Source organism: Homo sapiens, chromosome 17 (genome assembly GCF_000001405.40).
Source record: "Homo sapiens chromosome 17, GRCh38.p14 Primary Assembly".
NCBI lineage: Eukaryota > Metazoa > Chordata > Mammalia > Primates > Hominidae > Homo > Homo sapiens.
The window spans coordinates 20356679-20381606 of NC_000017.11; the positions used below are offsets into that span (position 1 = coordinate 20356679).

The 24928-nt window shown below is 37.0% G+C and overlaps 2 pseudogenes across 1 annotated transcript in view; one reads left to right on the forward strand and one right to left on the reverse strand.

Annotated features, from left to right (window-relative positions):
• Positions 1-24928, forward strand: part of CCDC144CP (coiled-coil domain containing 144C, pseudogene) — an 81018-nt pseudogene that overhangs the window by 35505 nt on the left and 20585 nt on the right. Inside the window, exons 9-12 of the transcript NR_023380.1 lie at positions 1201-1418; positions 5506-5689; positions 6244-6372; positions 8408-9352. The product of NR_023380.1 is annotated as a coiled-coil domain containing 144C, pseudogene (transcript). The remainder of the gene's footprint in view (positions 1-1200; positions 1419-5505; positions 5690-6243; positions 6373-8407; positions 9353-24928) is intronic.
• Positions 18138-20266, reverse strand: UPF3AP2 (UPF3A pseudogene 2; annotated as a pseudogene).

Genomic DNA, 24928 nt, shown 5'->3' on the forward strand with positions numbered 1-24928 from the left:
ATGTCTAATCTGTGTTCACCTCCATCCATTTTAGCTTTCATTCCTGACATTGTAATTTGAATCTCTACAAGTGTAGTTTGCTTTAAAGAAAAATCTTCCATGCCTCTGCCTGTCTGCTTGAGCTTAATTTTAATATACAGTTGAGTTCCATATGAACAGCTTGATCTTTCTGATCTTGCTTTTATGATTGGTCTAATTTCCTGCTCCTGAGGCAAGATCTTTGTGATGACTCTATTCATTGCCATGCGAAGTCTGAGTTTTCCCAGCATCACTCATGGGAATGGACACTCTTTTTGGCACATCGTGAACACCAGACATGTTTCTTTCCAGTGTTTTTTAGATGTTTTTTTCCCCTTGATCTGGGGCGGTTTTCTGGCACACATGTGCTGTTTGTTACTCTGCTAGATACCCAGGAGGTATTTTTGCAAATCTTCAGTGTTCTTTCCCTGTACTTTGTCTCCTTTCCGGTGTTCTGTTTTGTGATCTCTGTGTGCCTTGGCTTTACCAGACTCTCAGCTTCATCATCTCATCTCAGGGAATCTGGTGGACTCTATGTCAGTTTTTTCTCTCTGTGCGGTAGCCTGGAAACTCCGTGAAGGCAGGGAGCTGGAGTGTTGGATGAATTTCCTTTGTTTCCTGTCTTACGGGGATCATTGTCTTCATTACCTGAAGTCCACTGCCTGGTAAATCATTGTATAATATATTTTGTCTGTTTTCTTTTTGGTTGTTTCAGGCCAGAAGGTAAATCAGTACTTGCTGTCCATTGTGGCCAGAAGCAGATTCCAGCAGAGCTTCAGCACCTGCTGTCGACTGGCAAGAATGCTTTTCTACCCCTTTGCTTAACTGCTTCCTTCTCACCCTTCATTTCTCAGTGTAGCCATCTGTTCCTCAGGGGAATCTTCCCTGGGCCCATTATAGATCAAATTCTTCTGTGTGATCATAGAACTCTGTTTTCTTACACCATATATCTGAATTTATAATTGTCATTTTTGTTGTGTTTGTTCCTTACTTCACTTAAGGCTAAATGAGAGTAGAGGTCTTATCTGTTTTATCTGCAGAGCTTAGTAGAATGTCTCCCACTTTGTAGGCACTCAGTGCATATGTGTTCAATGTATGAAGGAGACAATGTTAAAAATGCACAGTTTTTTAATACCTAAAAGTACTCATATATTTTATTTCTACCTTTTCTCCCTGACACAGATTCTGCTAGCCTACCAAGAATCCAAGAAAGACACATTTTGTTTGTGTGAACACTTACTGAAACTTAAGAATAATCACTGTGACCAACTTACAGTAAAACTTAAACAAATGGAAAATATGGTCAGTGTACTACAAAATGAGCTATCTGAAACAAAAAAGACAAAATTACAGTTAGAACTTCAAAAAATTGAATGGGAGAAAGAGCTGTACGATTTGAGGTATGATGTTCTAGTTCTAAAGAAATATTTATACTAAAGACAATATATCAGAATTTTTGTAACTGCTGACTTACCTTCTGCAGATTAATGGGGGAGAAACCTTTTTGGTCTTGTGGGATATGAAATTCTTGGAAATAATAAAACAAATTATTAACTGTGAACTCTTCTAATAAATAAATGTATATTCTTTGCAATCTAAATGGCCATATAGAAGTCCACCATATAAAATCTTGTTACTCATTTAACAAATTGTAATTTGGGTTTTAAAATTATCTTGTATTTATAATTAATGATGTAAGGAACATCTTTTATCGTTACTATTATTTGTAGACACAGGGTCTCTGTGCCTGGAACTGGAGTTCACTGGTGTGATCATACCTCCCTGCAGCCTTGAACTCCATCCTCCTGCCTCAGCGTCCTAAGTAGTTGGGACTCCAGGTGCACATTCTCATGCTTGGCTAACTTTTTAAGTGTTTTGTAGAGACGGGGTATCACTATGTTGCTCAGGATGATCTCCAATTCCCAACCTCAAGCATTACTTCTGCAAAATTGGCCTCCCAAATCATTAGTATGACAGACATGAGCCATCATGCCCAGCCCAGAACATTTTTTATATAAATGTTTTTCTACATTCCTAAACTGTTTGCTTTGAATAAATTCTCCAATATAGAATTATTGGTTGAAATATAGGAACTTTTTAAAAAGACCTCTGATCAACATTTCTTAATTTTTCACAAGAATGTTTGTGTTAATTTATAGTTCAAGCAACAGAGCATGAACTGGTCACTTTTCTAAACCCAAAGTAATTTTCAAAAAATTTATACAGTTTTATTCTTTTTGAAAACTTTTTTTTAATTTCATAGCTTTAGGTATACAAGTGGTTTTTGGTTAAATGGATGAATTGTATGGTGGTGAAGTCTGGGATTTTAGTGTGCCTATCACCCGAGTAGTACACATTGTACCTCAGTAGGTAGTTTCTCATCCCTCATCCTCCTCCCACACTCTCCCACTTCTGATTCTCCGATGTCCATTATACTACTCTGTCTGCATTTGTGCACCCATAGCTTAACTCCCTATTATGAGTGAGAATGTGGTTTTATTTGGCTTTCCATTCCTGAGTTAGTTCACTTAGAATAATGGCCTCCAGTCCCTTCCAAGTTGCTGCAAAAGACATTATTTCATTCTTCTTATGGCTGAGTAGTACTCCATGACATATATATACCACATATTATTTATTCCATTCATTGGTTGATGGACACTTAGGTTGATTCCGTATCTTCGCAGTTGTGAAATGTGCTGCAATAGACATACGTTTGCAGGTGTTTTTTTTTTGATATAATGATTTCTTTTCCTTTGGGTAGATACCCAGTAGGGGATTGTTGGATTGAATGGTAGCTCTATTTTAGTTGTTTGAGAAATCTGTCTACTGTTTTTCATAGAGGTTGTACTAATTTACATTTCCACCAGCAGTGTATAAGCATTTCCTTTTCACCACATCTGCACCAACATCTATTGTTTTTTGACTTTTTAATAATGAGCATTCTGGCTGGAGTAAGGTGATATCTCCTTGTTGTTTTAGTTTGTATTTCTGTGAATATTAGTGCTGTTGAGCATTTTTAAATATGTTTTTTGGCCATTTGTGCATCTTCTTTTGAAAAATGTTCATGTCATTTGTGTACTTTTTGATGGGATTATTTGCATTTTCTTGCTGATTTGTTTGTCCTTTGTCAGATGCATAGTTTGCAAATATTTTCTCCTATGCTGTAGGTTCTCTTACTCTGATGATTATTTCTTTTGCTGTGCAGAAGCCTTTTCTTTTCTTTTCTTTTCTTTTCTTTTTTTTTTTTGAGGCAGAGTTTCACTCTTGTTGCCCAGGCTGGAGTATAATGGCGTGATCTCGGCTCATGGCTACCTCTGCCTCCCGGGTTCAAGCTATTCTCCTGCCTCAGCCTCCTGAGTAGCTGTGATTAAAGGCATTGCCACCATACCTGGCTAATTTTGTATTTTTAGTAAGACAAGGTTTCTCCCTGTTGGTCAGGCTGGTCTTGAACTCCTGACCTCAGGTGATTCTCCCACCTTGGCCTCCATGTCACTGCACTCCAGCCTGGGTGACAGAGCAAGACTCTGTCTCAAAAAAAAAAAAAAAAAAAAAAATATATATATATATATATATATATATGTTTTTGGTTAAATGGATGAAGTGTATGGTGGTGAACTCTGGGATTTTAGTGTGCCCATCACCTGAGTAGTACACATTGTACCTCAGTAGGTAGTTTCATATATATATACACACACATTTTTTTTTTTTGGTAGACATGAGGTCTCATTATGTTGCCCAGGCTAGTCTCAAACTTCTGGGCTCAAGTCATTCTCCTGCCTTGGCCTCCCAAAGTACCAGGATTACAGATGTGAGCCACATGTTAGGCCTAATCCATCTTGAGTTAATTTTTATATATGTTGAGAGATAGGGATCCAGTTTCATTCTTCTACATGTGGCTATTCAATTTTCCCAACACCATTTATTGAATAGGGTGTTCTTTGCCCAGTTTATGTCTTTGTACGCTTTGTGAAAGGTCAGTTGGTTATACATATTTGGCTTTATTTCTAGGTTCTCTATTCTGTTCCATTGGTCTACGTATGTACTTTTTTATACAAGTACCATGCTGTTTTGGTTACTTTAGCCTTGTCATATGGTTTTAGATCTGGTAATGTGATGTCTCTGGCTTCGTTCTTTTTGCTTGGGATTGCTTTGGCTATTCAGGCTCGTTTTTGATTCCCTGTGAATTTTAGGGGTACTTTCTCTAATTCTGTGAAGAATGACAGTGGTATGTTAATAGGAATTGCATGGAATCTGTAGATTGCTTTGGTTAATATGATCATTTTCACTATATTGATTCTTCTAATCTATGAACATAGGGCATATTTCCATTTGTTTGTGTCATCTATGATTTCCTTCAGCAGTGCTTTCTAATTCTCCTTTTAGAGATCTTTCACCTCCTTGGTTAAGTATATTCCTAGGTTTTTGTTGTTGTTGTTGTTGTTGCAGCTGTTGTAAAAGGGATTAGGTTCTTGATTAGATTCTCACCTTGGTCGTTCTTGATGTTTACTAGTGCTCCTGATTTGTGTACATTGATTTTGTAACATGAGACTTTTACTGATTTCATTGATTAAATCTAGGAGTCTTTAGGGTTTTCTAAGCTAAAACAGAGATAGTTTGACTTTGTCTTTTCCAATTTGGATGCCCTTTATTTATTTCTCTTACCTGATTGCTCTGGCTAGGACTTCCCAGTTTTATTCTAAATATGCACGAAATAAGTAAAATGGACAGTAATTGATGATTATTTTATTCCATATCTCTCATATGCAGATAAAATTAATTCCAAATTCATTGTTGAAACACATATTATCCTTTACTTTTAAACTAAATATTAGATCCTGTCTTGTTCCAAAAAGGGATTTTAAAATTGGTGATGAAATACTTAAGAATCAAGAAGATAAGTTGAAAGTGTTACCCAAAAGAGAAACATAAAAAGGATGGGGTAACAGTTATAGACAGCTTAGGCTAGTCTTGGATTATAGTAATCTGCAGATACATGTTGTGTGAATGACATCTGAAGGTGTTATCTTACACTGTAAATCATTTTTATGACTACACATACACTATTCCATGAAGACGAAAATGCATTTCTAGTGAATTTCTAAACTTGTTTGTAAACAGTAACTTCTTTTAAATTAACTCTAAATGATCTAATTAATTTTCAACTTGCATAACGTGAAAAAGAAGTAATTTTCAACTTGTAACTTTACTGAAAAATTTCAAATATGCTTTTCCATAATATTTACCAGGGTTACTAGTAACAGAAACTTACCAGTTAATGGAATATTTCTTTCCTCACTACCTCTCAAATATATATGTCCCTTGGAAGAGATCGAAGTGAGAAATTAAAAACATGAGAACTAGAAAGGAAACAAGAGCATAGGAGTTTTTATGAGGATAATAAACCCACATGGGAAGAGCCAGATCACAGAATAAACTTTTTTATTTTTTAACAAAACACATTTTAATGTAATCCATGTTTAACTGCAGACTTGCCTTAAAACAAGAAAATGAGGAGAAAAGAAATGCCGATATGTTGTATAATAAAGATAGTGAACAGTTAAGAATAAAAGAAGAGGAGTGTGGGAAAGTGGTTGAAACAAAGCAACAACTTAAATGGAATCTGAGAAGACTTGTTAAGGAATTGAGGACAGTAAGAAATAACTTGGATCTGGTAAATTAATCTTTGGTGTAAACTTCATTTTTCTAACTTTATGTTTCATCGGTATTACTTATAATTTTTTGCCTTCATGTATATCATTTAGGTTTAAAATAAACCAAAACTGTTATTTCCTCTTAAGAATGAACTATGACATTTATAGATAAAATTATTTACTGTAAACCTTGTCATCTAATAGATGCTCAGTCTGTGTTTTTAGAGTGGAGGATAAGTTGAGTTTAATTACTAATATAGCTGTTCATTTACACATTTTTTATGTTAAAATACAGGCTAAATAGCTTTGAAACTATAAGGACACTAGTTAAATGTTTTGAAAGAAATTTTATTTCACAATGCTGTATCTTCTCGTAGTTAAGAACTGTTTTTCCTCTTTGACAGATTTAGCTGTCATGTATGCAATTAAGATTTGAGTGATTCTTGAGGGATAAAAGTTCTTGTGTTTTAACAGGCTACTTCTTTTTAACCGTTTTATAAGAGAGGCTCTGCTCTTAACCTTTTAGATTTTCTTTTTCAGTGCTATTAGACCAAAACCTCCATGTCATCTCTAGGTTGTGCAGGAGAGAAACGATGCCCAGAAGCAACTTTCTGAAGAACAGGATGCCAGAATATTACAAGATCAGATTCTGACGAGTAAACAAAAGGAACTAGAAATGGCTCAGAAGAAAAGGAATCCTGAGGTATTTTCTTTAGTCATTTTCAAATATATTTTTGTATGTGAATATATTTTTAAAAAACAACTCTGTGCAACTTGGAAAGTACAATGGATTTTTGAACTACACACACACACACACACACACACACACACACACACACATTTGGGGGTGGTGATGGTGGTTCTGGCATTTTTGGCTCATTGAATAAAGTCATGTTCTTAATTCAACTCCATTTGTTTGCAAGAGTCAAGTAGTGACATTCACAGTGGCCTTATCCAAAGGAGAAACATTTGTTATTTTTCATAGAATTAATGATCTTTCCACAATCTCAAAATCCTTGCTACTAACAACAGACGTTCTAGTTTTCAGACATTATTTCATCTTCCTAATATATTAATGGAGAGGTTAGATTATTATTTCCACTTGCAGTAAGGATGAAATGTATAGCCAGTTCAGAGGCCGTACTTCAGAAGCCGTTTCCCTTACTTTTGAGGAGAGTAACAGTTTGCTCCAAGTAGTGTCTCATTTCAGTGCAAAGAGCTTTGAAAACAATGATATGCCATAATATAAACTTGGTGATAATTTATTGGTAAGTGTTTTTTCTTAGAAAAATAGTTCAGTGTGTGGGAGACTGAGGCGGGTGGATCACGAGGTCAGGAGATCAAGACCATCCTGGCTAACGCGGTGAAACCCCATCTCTACTAAAAATACAAAAAAAATTAGCCAGGCGTGGTGGCGGGAACCTGTAGTCCCAGCTACTCGGGAGGCTGAGGCAGGAGAATGGCATGAACCCTAGGTGGCGGAGCTTGCAGTCAGCCGAAATTGGGCCACTGCCCTCCAGCCTGGGTGACAGTGCGAGACTCCGTCTCAAAAAAAAAAAAAGAGAAAAGAAAAATAGTTCAGTGTATTTCACCTTGTTTCATGCTTATTTCTGTTTCAGACATTATAAAGAGGAAACGTAAGTTATTGTAATAACAGATAATCTCATGATTTTCTAAGAAAAGCTCTGTAACTTCTTTTTTTACCACTGGTGTTTTGAAATAAGCGTCTTTTATATTTATATATTTACAACACAGAAGTAATTGTGGTTTGGTGGAAGAGCACTAGAAGTAAAGTAAGGGAACCTAGGGAAAATCCTGCAACTTGCATATTTTTTGACCTCTCCTTTCAGAATTGTGATATAAATGAGTTCAGTGATACATGTACAAGTGCTTGGTACAAGGCCAGGTGCAGCGGCTCACGCCTGTAATCCCAGCACTTTGGGAGGCCGAGGTGGGTGGATCACTTGAGCCCAGGAGTTCCAGACCAGCCTGGGCAGCATGGCGAAACCCCATCTCTACAAAAAGTACAAATACATTTAGCTGCGTGTGGGGGTGTGTGCCTCTAGTTCAGCTACCCAGGAGGCCGAAGTGGGAGGATCACCTGAGCCCGGGAGGCCAAGGCTACAGTGAGTCTTGATTGCGTCACTGCCCTCTAACCTGAGTGATGGAGTGGAGACCCTATCTCGAAAAAAAAAAAAAGCCTAATATAATGCTTAGATTTAGCATTTATGAATAAATGTAATTCTTATATAACCGATGAGAAAAATGTTAGAAAAATAAATAGCTATAGAATATTCTCAGGAAAAAAAGAACTTCAAGAACGTTGGAACATTTCCTCTGTCCAGATATATGCAAAGCTACAGCTTTTACTATAGGGTGGTGTATAGGTTAGATGTCAGAGTGTAAAGCCAATTTTTTAATGTAGTCAAATTTATTAGTCTTTAATGCCTTTGAGTTTGTTGTAATTTGGAGACCGTCTTTTCCAATTCTGAGATGCTTAAAAATTCTCTAGTTATTTATGTTCTACATTCATGGATTCATTGTCTTCAAATAAACTTATGAAGTTTTGGGAATTTATGCTCTATGAGGTTTGAAGTTTCGATAGAATATTTTTTTCCAGTTGGATATCCACTTATGGCAATCTTTTCATTGTATACATGTATAGGTTATTTAATTTCAGAGAAAATCATAATCTGTCATTTTATTGAGTGCTACTGAATGTTTCCTTTCTTACTTAGATTTCTCATAGGCATCAGAAAGAAAAGGATCTCTTTCATGAAAATTGCATGTTGCAGGAAGAAATTGCCTTGCTGAGACTGGAAATAGATACAATAAAAAATCAGAACAAGCAAAAGGAAAAGAAATATTTTGAGGACATTGAGGTTGTGAAAGAAAAGAATGATAACCTTCAAAAAATTATAAAACGAAATGAGGAAACATTAACAGAAACAATACTCCAGTACAGTGGACAGCTGAACAATCTGACAGCTGAGAACAAAATGCTCAATTCTGAACTGGAGAATGGGAAAGAGAACCAAGAAAGACTAGAAATAGAAATGGAATCATACCGTTGTAGACTGGCTGCTGCTGTACATGACTGTGATCAAAGTCAGACAGCAAGAGACCTAAAACTTGATTTCCAGAGAACAAGACAAGAGTGGGTTCGTTTACATGACAAAATGAAGGTTGATATGTCTGGCCTACAAGCTAAGAATGAGATTCTTTCTGAAAAACTTTCTAATGCTGAAAGTAAAATTAACAGCCTACAAATTCAGCTCCATAACACAAGAGATGCTCTTGGAAGAGAGAGTTTGATTTTGGAACGTGTGCAAAGAGACCTCAGCCAAACACAGTGTCAGAAGAAAGAAACTGAACAAATGTACCAAAGCAAACTGAAGAAATACATTGCCAAGCAGGAATCTGTAGAGGAGAGATTATCTCAACTACAAAGTGAAAATATGTTGCTTCGACAGCAACTGGATGATGTTCACAAGAAAGCTAACAGTCAAGAAAAGACAATCAGTACTATCCAAGACCAGTTTCATTCTGCTGCCAAAAATCTTCAAGCTGAGAGTGAAAAGCAGATTCTTTCACTACAAGAGAAGAACAAGGAGCTGATGGATGAATATAATCATTTAAAAGAAAGAATGGATCAATGTGAGAAAGAGAAAGCAGGAAGAAAAGTAAGTATTAAGAAAGATAAAATATTTTTCAACCTTCCTGAAAGAAAATGTAAAGTAATATTTGGTTATGGCTAAATGTTGTATCTAGTTGAATATAAAATGTATAGATCATAAATGTATTTGCTGTATCAGCCTAGAAATGTACCAGTGAAAAAGAAGTTAAACCTGAAAGATGCTTTACTTTGCATAAAGAAATTGTGTCACCTATGAAATTTTAAGTTCAGTTACAGTGTTAATAGGTACAGACTAATACTCATGATGTAGTCTTATGCTGCTGAAATGATCATTGCAATGCCTTTATGTGGCCATGTTTTAATACCATGATGAAGCAGATAAACAGAAATGCTCATACCTGACATGAGTATTTTGAAATTAAGATTCAGTGGGGAGGGTTGCTTTGACCGTTAATTCCAGATTTCCCAGGTGAACTGAAGTATACTGCTGTATCTCATAATACTTTTCCTTCAGTAATTTTGTAATGTATTTAAGTTGGTATAATTTTATTTTTATTCATATCAATTTGACTTAAATCTGAGACGATTTCAGTCTCAAATTACTTGTTATGACCGCTCAATTCTTTAAAGGCATTTACTTTTTTTTTTTTTTTTTTTTTTTTTGAGATGGAATCTTGCTCTGTAAGTTTTGTATTTTTAGTAGAGACGGAGTTTTGCCATGTTGGCAAGGCTGGTCTGGAACTCCTGACCTCAGGTGATCCGCCCGCCTTGGCCTCCCAAAGTGCTGGGATTAGAGGCGTGAGCCACTGTGCCCGGCCTAAAGGCATTTACTTTTTATTAAATCATAATTTGGGACAGATGTGAATTTCAGCAAAGCCATGTTACATTTAATCTTACCACTGGTATTTATCATTTACTTTGAATGTTTTTACAAAGAATTTGCTCATAATTTTCATTTCAAGGCTCACTGCCTATCATTCGGATATAACTGATAGTACAAAGGTAACTGTGGCTATCTGTGATTTATTTGTTTGGCATTGAGTCCCATTTTCAAACTAATCAGAAGTGGCAGGATTCACATATAGCAGGAATGGACTGAATCGGTGAGACAGTTGTAGGAGCTGAGATCAGGAGGGAGGTAGAGGCCAGGTTACCTAGGGCCTCAAAGGCCATTGGAATTTTACTTGTATTGTGAGATAGAAATCTTTTAGAAGGATCTGAGCAGGCAATTGAATATGCAAGGAACTCTGAGGTTGATTTGAGCTTCTAATAAAAAACAGAGAAAACATTTTACCAGTGTGGGATGTACCACCAGCAGCCCCACCCACGTATCAAATTCTTTTTGAGACTTCAGTAGGTTGTTAAGCACTGCAGATGTTTCAGGGAAGAGTGAGTAGTGGGCTGAATCTATTGCCTAAGTTAACAGAAAACCGATTTGGCAGGAAGATAACACCTTCTTTGTCCTTAACTAAATTCAGTAATAAACAAGAATGTGTGCACATGAGGAAAAGAAGGCGAATCATATATGTGTTGATGTTTTTCAAAGTATATGAGTTAGAGTTAAATCTTACTACCATAATTTAATAATAAGGTGATTTATAAATCAGTAACAAAAAATACCTTCACAGGTAGTTATGAGAGAATTCCAGCAAGAATGGACCGATCTCCTAAAACAACAACCTACGTCAGAGGCTACCTCACGTTGTCACATTAATTTAGATGAGACACAGGATTCAAAGAAGAAATTGGGTCAAATCAGAAGTGAAGTATGTATGAAACATAACATGTCAACAGTTAATCTATAGGTGGTGAAATAATGTCAGATGTTTTAGGATACTGATTGCAGTGGATAGCTTTCTTTTGTATTTTTATTATAATTCATTTTATTACAATTTAATTATCTTTATAATACACTTGTTTCTTACCATCTGGCTTTCATTCTGTCCTTTTCTCCTCATAAGTACATTTTAAAAATAAGGATCATTTCCAAAGATCCTTAGGAAAATTGGGAATTATTCAGTATTCCTCACAGAAGTTGAGAGGCTTTTTTTTTTTCCTGTGAAGTAGTATTTTTTTAGTGATTTCTCTATTGCCATGGTGAGGCAAGCCAGATTAAATTATAGGATAATGTTTAATAGAATGTTCCAGAAAATTGTCTTATTTCTTATCTTTACTTTTGTGAATGGGTACAGAATCTGTGTATATTTATTTCATGAATTTCAGGATAACTGGTACAGAAAGGCCATAGTACTGTTCTCCAAAATGCAAATGTTTTAATTTACAAACTACTTGAAATGTTAGGTACTTCCTTTATTTTCCTTTCATTTTAAATATATTGTGCTTTTTTACAAATCATGTATAGTATGTACATCCAAAGTAGAGAATTAAGAGATATATCTAGATTCTACCACTGAATTTTTAAAAACAAGTTTACTGAGAGAGAATTCTCATACCATACAGTTTACCCATTGAACGTGTACAATTCATGGTCTCTTAATATATTCACAGAGTTGCATAACCATCACCATCATCAATTGTAGGACATTTTCATGACCCTGAAAAGAATCAGCAATCTATTTTGTTTCCATAGATTAGCCCATTCTGGACACCACGTATCAATTGGATCACACAATGTGTGGTGGTCTTTTGTGACTGGCTTCTTCTACTTAGCATAACATTTTTAAGGTTCATTGTGTTGTAACATGTATCAGTATTTAATTTCATCTTATTGCTGAGTAATTTTCCACTGTATGGACATACCACTAATTTATTTAGCCATTCATCAGTTGATGGACCTTTGGGTTGTTTCCATGTTTTGGCTATTATTAATCATGCTGCTGTGAACTTTTATTTACAAGTTTTTGTGTTTGTATATGTATTCCTTTCTCTTGGGTATATACATATGAGTTGAATTTCTGGGTCATATGGTAACACTATGCTTAACATTTTGAGGAGCTTCCAGTCTGCTTTCCAAAGTGGTTGCACCATTTTACATTCCCATCAGCATTGTATGAGGGTTCTAATTTCTCCACATCCTTGCCAACATTTTTCATATTTTTGATTGAAAAAGGATTCCAACCTAGAGGTATGAAGTGGTACCTCATTGTGGTTTTGATTCACATTTCCCTAATGATGAATGACTTTAAGCCTCTTTTTATGTGCTTATGAGCCACTTGTATATCTTCTCTGGAGAAATATCTGTTCAAATCTTTTGCCCACATTAAAATTGGGTTGTCCTAAATTTCTGAATTTTAAGAGTTCTTTATATACCCTAGGTGTAAGTCCCTTATCAGATATGTTTCCAAATATTTTCAATGGCTTTCCTTTTTATTTTCTTTTTTATGATTTATTATGTTTTTAAAATTTATATAATTTTAAATTGTAGAGAGAAGGTCTCACTATGTTGTCCAGGCTGGTTTTGAACTCCTGAGCTCAAGCAATCCTCCCACCTCGGCCTCCCAAGTGTTGGGATTATAGGTGTAAGCCACCATGCCCAGCCTCCTTTTCACTTTCTTGATGGTCTCTGTTCAAGCACAGAAGTTTCACATTTTGATGAAGTCCAGTTAATTTTTTGTTTGTTTGTTTTGCAGTCACAAAGATTTATGGCTATGTTTTCTTCTAGGAATTTTATAGTTTTAGTTCTTACATTTAGCGGTTCTATTTTGTTACTTTTAGATATGACATTTGGTGAAGTCCACCTTTATTCTTTTGCATGTGGATATACCGTTTTCCCAGAACCATTTGTTGAAAAATCTATTCATTTCTCATTTAATTTTTTTTACACCTTTGTTGAAAATCAGTTGACCATAAAAGTGTGGGTTTGTTTTTGGATTCTCAGTTCTAATATATTGAGCTATGTCTATCCTTATGCCAGTAGCAAATCACATTTTAGGAAAATTCATTTTCAGTCCTGTTGCTTATTACCAGTTGTCTTATGTAAGAATAGAAATTCAAGTAGTAGAATGTCTTTAATTTCACTTTTTGCTTCTTGAAGGAGTGTATGGCCAGCTTATGCCTTGCTGACTCCATGACATGATGAGAGTCAGGCTTATGAAGACAGATCCCATTAATTTTTTTTCTCCAGTCATACCTTTTGTCTCTCACCCAGTGCCTCTCTCTTCATTCCCATTTCCATCAAATCTTGGTCACAGGATATGCTGACTCCGTCTACTATTTACTGCATTATGTTTTTATTAACTCATTGTAAGTCATAGAGTCATGTGTAGATTTTAACTATCTATGAAGGGCAAGATTAAGTCTAGGCTGTCATCTTTCCTCATTGGAAATTGAGCTAATTCATCATGTTGCAGTTTACAGTTAGATACTCTTTTGACCCAGCACCCGGTTCTCTTGTACACTCCCGGAGCTGAATCCTCTTCTTGGCACAGATACTACATTCTCAGAAACCAGAGTTCCCTGCATTTACCTCCTTTTGCTTAAATAGAGATGCATAGCTATGCTTTTATAGTTCAATACATAATTCATTGAATAAATACTTCAACCCATTCAAAGAACAACTTCCAGGAGTGCAGCAACTGGAAATCAGGTCATGTCCAGGCATTTATCAGAAACAAATGGTTGAATTAGTTGTATGAATTTCAAAATTTCAGAGCCAATTTGTATGATATGGAGAAGCATTTTGATACAACATAAAGATGAGATGCTCTTCCCTTCTCCATACAAATGAGCTTGAAGTAAGGTAAAGGGGAAATTGCATTTAATAGCTTAACACTCAAAGGACACTACATTTTTACTTCTGAGATTGTTAAAACTGATTCCATAATATTTTGTTAATTTTCTCAGTGAGGTAATGGAAATGAAGATTGAATCCTAGATTGACTAATAAATATCCAAAGCTGCTTATCACTTTTAGAATTTCAGTTCATTGAAATCAGGTACAATGTCTGATTTTTGGTTATTAATCAAATATTTCTGGTTTTTTCAACTTTATACTTCAAATTATATATCTCCTTCGTTCTTCATCTTCCTTATTTCATAACTCGGGGGACAAATTCTAAAAGCCTCACTGGCTTAGTCATCAGAATTTGTAATCGAAAGGAACTTTTTCTAAACTTCCTCTGCAGTAGTTCTTACATCCTTCTCCTGGTTGTCTGCTGCTTCCCATTAGAGTTGTTTGTCATTAATAAATTAACCTCAACATTTTTTAGATCTTACTTTAAAGGAGACTAATTTCTACTGGGTATGTTATTCTATTTCTTGTTGTCTCCTTGTTTAAATTTATTTTTCTGGTTATTTTTTCCTAACAAATTACCCAAAGTTGAGTGGCTAAGAACAACATTCGTTTAGTTCACCAATCTGTGGCTTGGGAAAACCTTGGCTGGGACAGCTTGCCTCTGCTCCCTTCAGCTTCACTTGGGATAAATCAAAGGCTGAGGGACTGGAATCATCTGAAGGTTTGTTCACTAAGATGTCTGTTGCTGATGGTGGCTATTGGTTGGAACTTTAGCTGGGGCAGGTTGCCCAAATATCTACATTGGAACTCCTAGGCTCTCTTTGTGGCCTAAGCTTCCTCACAACATGGGGGCTGGGGTCCAAGGGTGAGCAGTCTGCGGTAGAGAGCCTCTTCTAACTTAATGTTCGAAGCCACATGGTTATCACTTTTAACACTTTCTGTTCATTAGAAGCAAGTCACTAAGTTTCACCTATAGTCTATATATAGGATGAATGATTTTGCTTTTATTTTTATTGATGTATTTTTTTTTTAGACATGGTGTCTTATTATGTTACCCAGGCCGGCCTTGACCTCCATGTCTCAAGAATTCTTCCTGCCTCTGCCTCCCAAGTAGCTGAGACCACAGGAATGTGACACCACACCTGGCTTCCTTTGATTTTTTGTGGACCTGTATAATTGTACATATTTATGGTATACACAGTGATATTTTGATATGTGTAAACAATGTATAATGGTCAAATCAGGCTAATTAATATATTCCATCACCTCAAACATTTACCATTTCTTTGTGTTGTGAACTTTCAAAATCCTCTCCTCTAGCTTTTTAAATATTAGCTAGCCAAGCCAGGTGTAGTGGCACACACCTGTAATCCCAGCTGTTTGGGAGGCTGAGGCAGGAGAATGGCTTGAACCCCGGAGGCGGAGATTGCAGTGAGCTGAGATTGCACCACTGCACGCCAAGCCTGGGTGACAGAGCAAGACTCTGTCTCAAAAAAAAAAAAATATTAGTTAACCATATTCACCCTACAATGCAACAGAACACTAGAATTCATTCCTCCTATGTAACTGTAATCTTGTATCCATTAACCAGCCTCTCCCCATCTTCTACTCCCCTTTACCTTTCTCAGCCTCTAATACCCACAGTTCTACTCTCTACTTCCGTGAACGTTTTTTTAAATTTTAGCTCCCACATGAGTGAAAACATACAGTAGTTATTTTTCTGTGCTTGAATTATTTCACTTAGTGTCACTTAATGGCCTCATCCATGCTGTAAATGATATGATTTTATTCTTTTTTTATGGCTGAATAGTATTCCACTGTGGACATATACCACATTTTCTTTACTCATCAACCACATTGATCTGTTGATGAACATTTAGGTTGATTCTGTATCTTGGTTGTTGTGAATAGTGCTGCAATCAACATGGGAATACTGGTATCCCTTTGATACGCTGATTTTCTTTCTTTTGGATAAATACTTAGTAGTGGGATTGTTGGATCATATGACACTTCTATTTTTAGCTTTTTAAGAAACTTCCATGGTTATACTAGTTTACATTCCCTCCACGAGCATAAGAGTTTTCTTTTTCTCTCCAACCTCGCCAGGATTTTTTACTTCTGGTTTCTTTGTTTTTTGTTTTTTGATTTTTTTGATAGTAGCCATTCTGTGGTGAGACGATATCTTATTTGGGATTTTGTTTTCATTTTCCTGTTAGTGATGTTGAGTACTTTTCCATACATTTGTGGACATTCGTATGTCTTCTTTTTAGAAATGTCTATTTAAATTCTTTCTCCACATTTCAGGGGGGATTATTAACAATTTTTACTGTTGAGTTGTTTGAGTTCCTGGCATATTCTAGATATTAGACCTTTCTCAGATGAATAGATTTGTAAATATTTTCTCCCAGTCTACAATTGTTGGTTGTTTCCTTCACTTTGTTGATTGTTTCCTTTGCTGTGAAGAAACCTAATTTTAATATAGCTTTACTTATGTATTTTTGTTTTTATACCTGTGCTTTTTTTTGCATATGCCCGTGATAACTTAGCTATAAAATCTTTGCCTTGACCAATGTCCTGAAGCATTTTCCATATATTTTCTTGTAGTAGTTTTATAATTTTGGATCTCATGTTTAAGTCTTTAATCTATTTTGAGTTGATTTTTGTATATGGTGAAAGATAGGGACCTGGTTTCATTCTTCTTTTTACAGATACCCACTTTTCCCAGCCCCATTTGTTGAAGAGAGGGTTCTTTCCCCAATGTATGTTTTTGATACTTTTGTTGAAAATCAGGTGTCTGTAAATATGTGGATTTATTTCTGCATTCTCTGTTCCATTGGTTTAATTTTCTATTTTTATACCAAGACCTTGTTCTTTTGGTTACTGTAACCTTGTAATATATTTTGAAGTCAGGTGGAGTGATGCCTCCAGCTCTGTTCTTTTCCCTCAGGCTTGGCTTGTATAGTCTAGCTTTTTTGCAGTTCCATATGAATTTTAGGATTGTTTTTTCCATTTCTGTGAAGAGGGTTATTGGTGTTTTTTTGTTGCAAGTTATAAAGGGCATTTTATTTTTATCTTATTCTTTCTCTTTCTTAACTTTCAGATTCAGGGAGTACATGTGCAGGTTTGTTACACAGGTATATTGCATAATGCTTAGGTTTAGGGTGCAGTTGAACCTATCACCCAGGTAATGAGCATAGTACCTGGCATGTCATTTTTCAATCATTGTCCAACCCAGTCCCCCTTCTTATAGTCCCCACTGTCTATTGCTCCCATCTTTATGTCCATGTGTACCCAGTGTTTAGCTCCCACTTATAAGTGAGAACATGTAGTATTTGGTTTTCTGTTTCTGCATCAGTTTGCTTAGGATAATGGCCTCCAGCTGCATCCATGTTGCTGCAAAGGGCAGTATTTTGTTCTTTTTATAGTTGCATAGTATTCCATATTGTATATGTGCTACATTTTCTTAATCCAGTGCATCATTGATGAGCTTCTGGTTTTATTCCATATCTTTGCTATTGTGAATAGTGCTGCAGTGAACATTGGGTGCATGTGTCTTTTTGGTAGAATGATTTTTTGGTGGTGGGAAGTGGATATTTAACCAACTAATGGGATTGCTGGGTTGAATGGCAGTTCTACTTTTAGTTCCGTGAGAGAAACCTCCAAACTGCTTTCCACAGTGGCTGAACGAATTTACCATTTTCTCCCAAAAGTGTATTAGAATTCCCTTTTTGCTGTAGCAGCTCTGCCAAAATCTGGGTTGTTGTTGCTTATTTTTTGACTTTTTAGTAATAGCCATTATGTCTGGTGTGAGATGGTATGTCATTGTGGCTTTGATTTGCTTTTCTCTGATGATCAGTGATGATGAGCATTTTTTCATATGTTTGCTCTCCACTTTTATGTCTTTTTTTGAGAAGTGTCTGTTAATGTATTTTGCCCGCTTTTATATATTTTTTTAAATTCTTGTTTGTTGATTTAAGTTCCTTATAGGTTCTGGATATTAGAACTTTGTTCAATGCATAGCTTGTAAATACATTCTTTCATTATTTAGGTTGCCTATTTAGTCTCTTGAATGGTTCCTTTTCCTATGCAGAAGCTCCTTTGTTTAACTAGGTCCCAATTTTTCTTTTCTTTTTTTTTTTTCTTTAACAAAATTTTTATTTAATAAATGGTTAAAATCGCAGTGCCAAAAATACATTCACATTTAGCAATTTCACTGAAAGGAAGAAACTACAGAATGCACGGTTTCAGAAAGCTATTTTAAGTTATTTACAAATAAAGTATCTAAAACTCAAAAACAGGCTCTATATGCTATATCTCGTTTATCCCTTCCCGAACAAAATTTCTGTTATTTGGGCAAATTCTTAAACCATGGTTTAAACCGTAATGGTTACAAACCACAAACACATCCATCCAAAGACTGAAACCGTTTTTATCCGGTCAGTGGCAAAACTGTTGAAAGGGCAATAGTTGAAGCTGTTGGGTTTTATATAGTGTGAACTCTGATAAATATTCCTACCAGGACTAAAACACAGCACACTTTGCAGGCATGGCTGACTCACAAAGGTTGTAACAAACAAGAACTACTCTTCACTCGACACCATGGCTCAGAGGCCAACGAGAAGCACGAGTGACTGACAGCTCCTCTGCTTACAAACGAATGAAACCCAAAGTGGATGTCGTTCTCACAGCACTGAAAGTGCTTCAGGACTCACACTGATCCAATACTAACTTTCTTCCCTATTTTACACATATTTTTCTACTGTCCAGTGGAAATCATTTTCTGTTTTGGCTAAACAACAAATACTAGTTTATAACAGGAATGGTAAAATCTGTGAGAATTCTGCTCAATTTAATACAAGATCACTACTTTCTTTAGAATGGTTTCTGCGTGTTTCTATGTCACCCTCTGTAGTTTTAGCTTCCAGTTTCCTGGTAAGGAATAAGTTCTCCTTCCCAGTCACACTCGGGGTCATTTACACGTTTCTGGGATGCCCTCGCTCGTCCATGGAGGCCAGGTGCGTGCAGTGACTCACTCTGCCTCTTCCCTCTTCTCAGGACCAGTTCCCGAACCTTCTGCCTTGCAGATCCTCCTGTTTCCGCCACACTCTAGCGCTCGGAAGTGAGCTCCTGGATCATACAGCTGCAAGGCTGGCCGGTCCTTGTTTGCCAGTCGCTCTTTTCTGGGTGCTGGACTGTCGTCACACCTCTGCGCTCTTCCCAGTCTCTCCATGGCCTCCCCCGGAGCCCCGCTGTCCTGGCTCCCCTTCTTCCCTCTGTCTTGGCCAGGTCCTTTCCCCCATCTCTGCTCATCCTCACTCCCTCTGGAAAGCCGGTCAGGCTCGTGGTGAGCTCTGTGCCTCCTGCCATCATCCACATGGTGTCTTTGTGCTTCAGATTCTTGTTCTTGAGATCTCTCCACATCCCTGTGCTCTTTATCACTGCCGCTGTGTGACGTCTCCTGGGGCTCCTCCAGCGAGCCTTCCACGGGCCTGGCTTTTACGACTGCACCGGGGGCACAGGATTCCTGCTTGCCACCTCCAGTATCAATCTCCTCTCCTCTTTCTTTTGGTTTCTCTGTGGTTGGTTCCTCTCCCTTTTCTGGTTTCTTAAGAAGCTTAATCCTTACTTCTTTCTCTGCAATTTTCTTCTGTTTATCTGTCTCTCTTTTTTTTTTTGCATCTTTCTTCTTCTCTTCTTCTTCTTTTTTCCTCTTCCCGCAAACGTTTCTTTTCTAACTCTCTCCTCCTCCGTTCTTCTCGCTTCTCTTCTCGAATTCTCTGCTTTTCTAATTTTCTATTTTTAATATATTCCAAAAGAGGTGTGGTTCTTCTAGCAATGAGCTCTCTTGTCTTCGCCTCCATCTCCCCCAGCAGAGTCTCAGGGTTGGCACTGGCCTTCTCTTCCTCCACACAGTAGGTTTCTAAAAACTTCTTATATTCTGGATCTTTGCTGTCAAGGAAGATATATCCCATCAAAACGATCTCTAAAAAGAAGGATGTCATCAGGATTCCTAAAATTAATGTATGCTCTTGAGTAGAGATGAGGATAAAGACTCAGGTCGGCGGCGAAGAACTCGAAGTAGTCGTGTGCTGGCAACGGGCGCAGCTGCTCCTCCAGCTGCTCCTTGGTGAGGCCCGGAGGCAGGCGGCGGATGACCAGCTGCGGGGAGCGCGGCCGTTCCCACAGGGGCGGAGCGTGGACAAGGAGCTCAAAAGGCACCGCGTACCGCGCTGGGAGGCCCGGCCCCCGCCCCTCCCTCCTCTCCCTCCCCTCCCTCCCCTCTAGGTCCCAATTTTTCATTTTGACTTTTGTTGCAATTGCTTTTGAGGGCTTATTCATAAATTATTTTCAGAGGCTGATTTCTAATAGTGTATTTCTTAGGTTTTCTTGTAGGATTTTTATAGTTAGAGGTCTTACTTTTAAGAATGTAATTCAGCTTTCATTAATTTTTGTATGTGGTGATAGCTAGGGGTCAAGTTTCATTCTTCTGTGTATGGATAACCAGTCATCCCAGCACCATTTATTGAATAGGGAGTCCTTTCCCCATTGCATATTTGTGTCGGCTTTGTCAAAGACCCAATGGTTGTAGGCGTGTGGCTTTATTTCTGGGCTCTCTGTTCTGTTCCATTGGTCTATGTGTCTGTTTTTGTGCCAGTACCGTGCTGATTTGTTTAGTGTAGCGTTTGTTTACTGTAGTATAGTTTGAAGTTGGGTAATGTGATGCATCAGGCTTGGTTCTCTTTGCTTAGGATGGCTCTGGGTGTTTGGGCTCTTTTCTGGTTCCATATGAAGTTTTAGAATAGTTATTTCTAATGCTGTGAAAAATGACATTAGTAGTTTGATAGGAATGGTATTGAATCTGTAGACTGCTTTGGGCAGTATGGCCATTTTAATGCGATTGATTTTTCCAATTCATGAGCATGGAATGTTTTGCCATTTTTTTTGGTGTCATCTATTTGGTGTCATGATTTTTTTTCAGCAGTGTTTTGTAGTTCTCCTTGTAACCACCTTTCATCTCTGTAGTTAGATGCATTCCTAAGTATTTTGCTTTTTTGTGTGTGGCTATTATAAATTGGATTACATTCTTGATTTGTCTCTCAGCTTGAACTTTATTGGTATATAGAAATGCTATGGATATTTTTACATTGATTTTTGTGTCCTGACTGAAGTCATTTATCAGTTCCAGGATAAATTGGCAAACTCTTTAGAGTTTTTTAGGTACAGAATCATATCATCAGCAAAGAGAGATAGTTTGGCTTCTTTTCCTTTTTGGATGCCTTTTCTTTCTTTCTTTTTCCTGATTGCTCTGGCTAGGAGTTCCAGTACTATGTTGAATACATACAGTGAGAGTGGGCATCTTTGTCTTGTTCCAGTTGGCAAGGGGAATGCTTCCAACTATTTTTGTTCTTTTTTCTTTAATTTTTTTCTTTACTATTTTATAGAGACAAGGTCTCACTGTGTTGCCCAGCCTGGTCTCAGACTCCTGGCCTCAAGTGATTCTCCTGTCTTCGCCTCCCAACATGCTGGGGTTACAAGCATGAGCCACTGCACTTAGCCCCCACTTCCAGCTTTTGCCCATTCTGTATGGTTTTAGCTGTGGGTTTGTTATAGAGTGGCCTTTATTATTTTGAGGTCTGTTTCTTTGATGCCTAATTTGTTGGGTGTTTTTTTCATGAAGGGATGATGGACGTTATTGAAAGCTTTTTTGCATCTTTTGAGTTGATCATATGGTTTTTCGTTTTCATTCTGTTTATGTGGTGAAACACATTTATTGATTTGTGTACTTTGAACCAATTGCATCACAAAAATAAAGCTGACTTGATTGTGGTGAAGTAAGTTTTTGATGTGTTTGCTGGATTTTGTTTGCTGATATTTTATTGAGGACTTTGGTGTCTACATTCATTGGGGATATTGGGCTGTAGTTTTCTTTATTCATTGTGTCTTTGCTGGCTTTTAGTATCAAGATGATGCTGGCATCATACAATGAGTTAGGGAGAAGTATCTCCTCAATATTTTGGAATAGTTTCATTAGGTTTGTTAACAGCTCTTCTTTGTATGTCTGGTAGAAATTGGCTATGAGTCAGTCTGATCTGAATCTGTTTTTGGCTAGTTGGTTTTTTATTACTGATTCAATTTCAGAGCTTGTTATTTGTCTGTTCATGATTTCAATTTCCTCGTGGTTCAATCTTTGTTGGTTTCCAAGGATTTATCCATTTCTCCTAGATATTCTAGTTTGTGTGTATACAGTGGTGTTCATTGTAGTCTCTGAGGATCTTTTGTATTACTGTGGGATTGGTTGTAATGTCATCTTTGTTGTTTCTGATTGTGCTTATTTAGATGTTCTCTGTTATTTATTTATTTATTTATTTATTTATCTAGCTAGTAGCCTGTCGGTATTTTTATCCCTTCAAAAAGCCAACTTTTGGTTTCACCGATCCTTTGTATGGATTTTTGGGCCTCAAGTTTTCTCAGTTATGCTCTAATTTTAGTTATTTCTTTTCTGTTGCCAGCTTTGGGGTTATTTTGTCCTTGTTTTTTAGTTCCTCTCGGCACAGTGTCAGATTGTTAATTACAGATCTGTCTAACTTTTCAACATATTTGTTTTGCACTATAAGCTTTCCTCTTATGCTGCTTTTGCTGTATCCCAGAAGTTTTGGTATGATGTTTCTTTTTGCTTATTACAAATCATTGTTTGATTTCTGCCTGAAATTCTTTCTTTTCCCAAAGTCATTTAGGAGCCAGTTGTTTGATTTCCATGTGATTGTGTGGTTTTCAGAGATCTTCTTGGTATTCATTTCTATTTTTATTGCACTGTAGTCCAAGAGAATGGTGTTGTGTGATTTCATTTTTTAAAAATTTATCATGACTTGCTTTATGGTCAAACATGTTGTTGATCTTGGAGTATGTTCTTTGTGCAGATGAGAAAAAAGTGTATTCTGTAGTTGTTGGGTGGAGTATTCTGTAGATGTCTGTTAGGTCCAATTAGTCAAGTGTTAAATTTAAGCCCAGAATTTCTTTGTTAGTTTTTTGTCTCAATGATTTGCCTTAACACTATCAATGAAATGTTGAAGATCCCCACTGTTATTGTGTGACTGAGTCTTTTGGTAGGTCTGGAAGTACTTGGTTGTTTTTGAATGTGGGTGCTCCAGTGTTGGGTGGGTATGTATTTAGGATAGGGATGTCTTCTTGGCGAAGTGAGTCCTTTATCATTGTGTAATGCCCTTCTTCATCCTTTTTTGGCTGTTGTTGGTTTAAAGTCTGTTTTATCTAAGAATAACAACCCCTTGCTTTTTGCATTTTATTTGCATGACAGATCTTTGTCTATCTCTTTACTCAGAGCCTGTGGGTGCCATTACATGTGAGATGTGTCTTTTGAATATAGCAGACTGTTGATTCTTATTGGTTTGTTTTTTTTTAATTCAACTTGCCACTCTGTGCCTTTTAAGTGAGGCATTTAGACCATTGAATTCAGTATTAATATTTATATGTGAGATTTTGATTCCGCCATGATGTTTTTAGCTGTTTGCTTTGTACTCTCGATTGTGTAGTTGTGTAATAGGGTCTGTGGGCTATGTACTTAGGTGTGTTTTTGTGGTAGTGGGTATTGTTCTTTCTTTTCCATATTTAGAACTCCTTAAGAATCTCTTGTAAGTCTGGTCTAGCGGTAATGAATTTCTTTAGTGTTTGTCTGGAAAAGATTGTATTTCTCTGTCACTGATGAGGCTTAGATTGGAGTGGTATGAAGTTCTTGGCTGAAATTTCTTTAAGGATGCTGACAACAGGCCCCACTTTCTGGCTTATAAGGTTTTGCCGGAAAGAGGTCAGCTTTTCACCTGATGCAGCTGTTATAGCTGCCTGTGAGATTTTTCCTTTCGTGTTGACCTTGGAAAGTCTGATGGGCTGTGTATCTTGGGGATGGTTGTAGAGGTTCTCTGAATTTCTTGAATTTTTCCATCAACCTCTGTAATGAGATTGGGGAAATTTCATGGACTATATCCTCAGATATGTTTTCCATGTTGCTTCCTCTCTCTCCTTCTCTTTCAGCCATGCCAATGAGTCATAGATTAGTGTCTTTACAAAATCCCACATTCCTCAGATGTTTTGTTCATTTTTAAAATGGTTTTTTCTTTATTTTTGTCTGACTGGGCTGACTCAAAAGACAGGTCTTTGAGCTCTGTAATCCTTCCCTCCGCTTGGTCTCATCTGGTTTTGAAGCTCCCTCCTGTGTTGAATTTTGCAGCTCCAGAAGTTCAGTTTGATTCTTTTTAAAAATGGCTCTGTCGTGTTTCAACTTTTGGATGGTTATACTGGCTTCCTTGGATTGGATTTCAACTTTCTCTTTAATCTCATTGAGCTTTGTTGCCATTGAGATTCTGAATCACATGTCTGTGATAAAGCATGTCATTACACTTTAATCTGGTGAGAATTTATAGCTGGGGAGCTAGTGTGATTTTTTGGAGGTAATGAAATGCTCTGATTTGTTGAATTGCTAGAGTTCTTGTGCTGATTATTCCTCCTCTGAAAATGCTGATGTTTCTTTATCGTTTTGAAATTCCTGTCATTTGGATGGGAATTTTTGTTTTTATGTTCTTTTTTTTCTCTTGAGGGTTTGTGGTGTGTATTGTGTATAGTTGATTGGCCTTTTTTTCTGGGTGGTTTCAGATGGCCAGGACTCTACACAGGTTCCTTCCTTGTGGCTACTTCCCTGCATTGGGTTTCACAGATGTGTGTTGAAGGTATATCATGATTTTTGTTTGGTGGTGTAATTCAGTCTGCAATCCAGGAGATGGTGCTCTAGAGTACGGGCTGGCATGCCTCTTTTCTGTTTCAGCGTGTTGGCAGCAGTGCTCTGGGGAAGGGGGAGAAGTAGGATTGGGAAGGCGAGAGATAACCCCCTCACCAAATCAGTTCCTGGAACTTGGGAGAGCC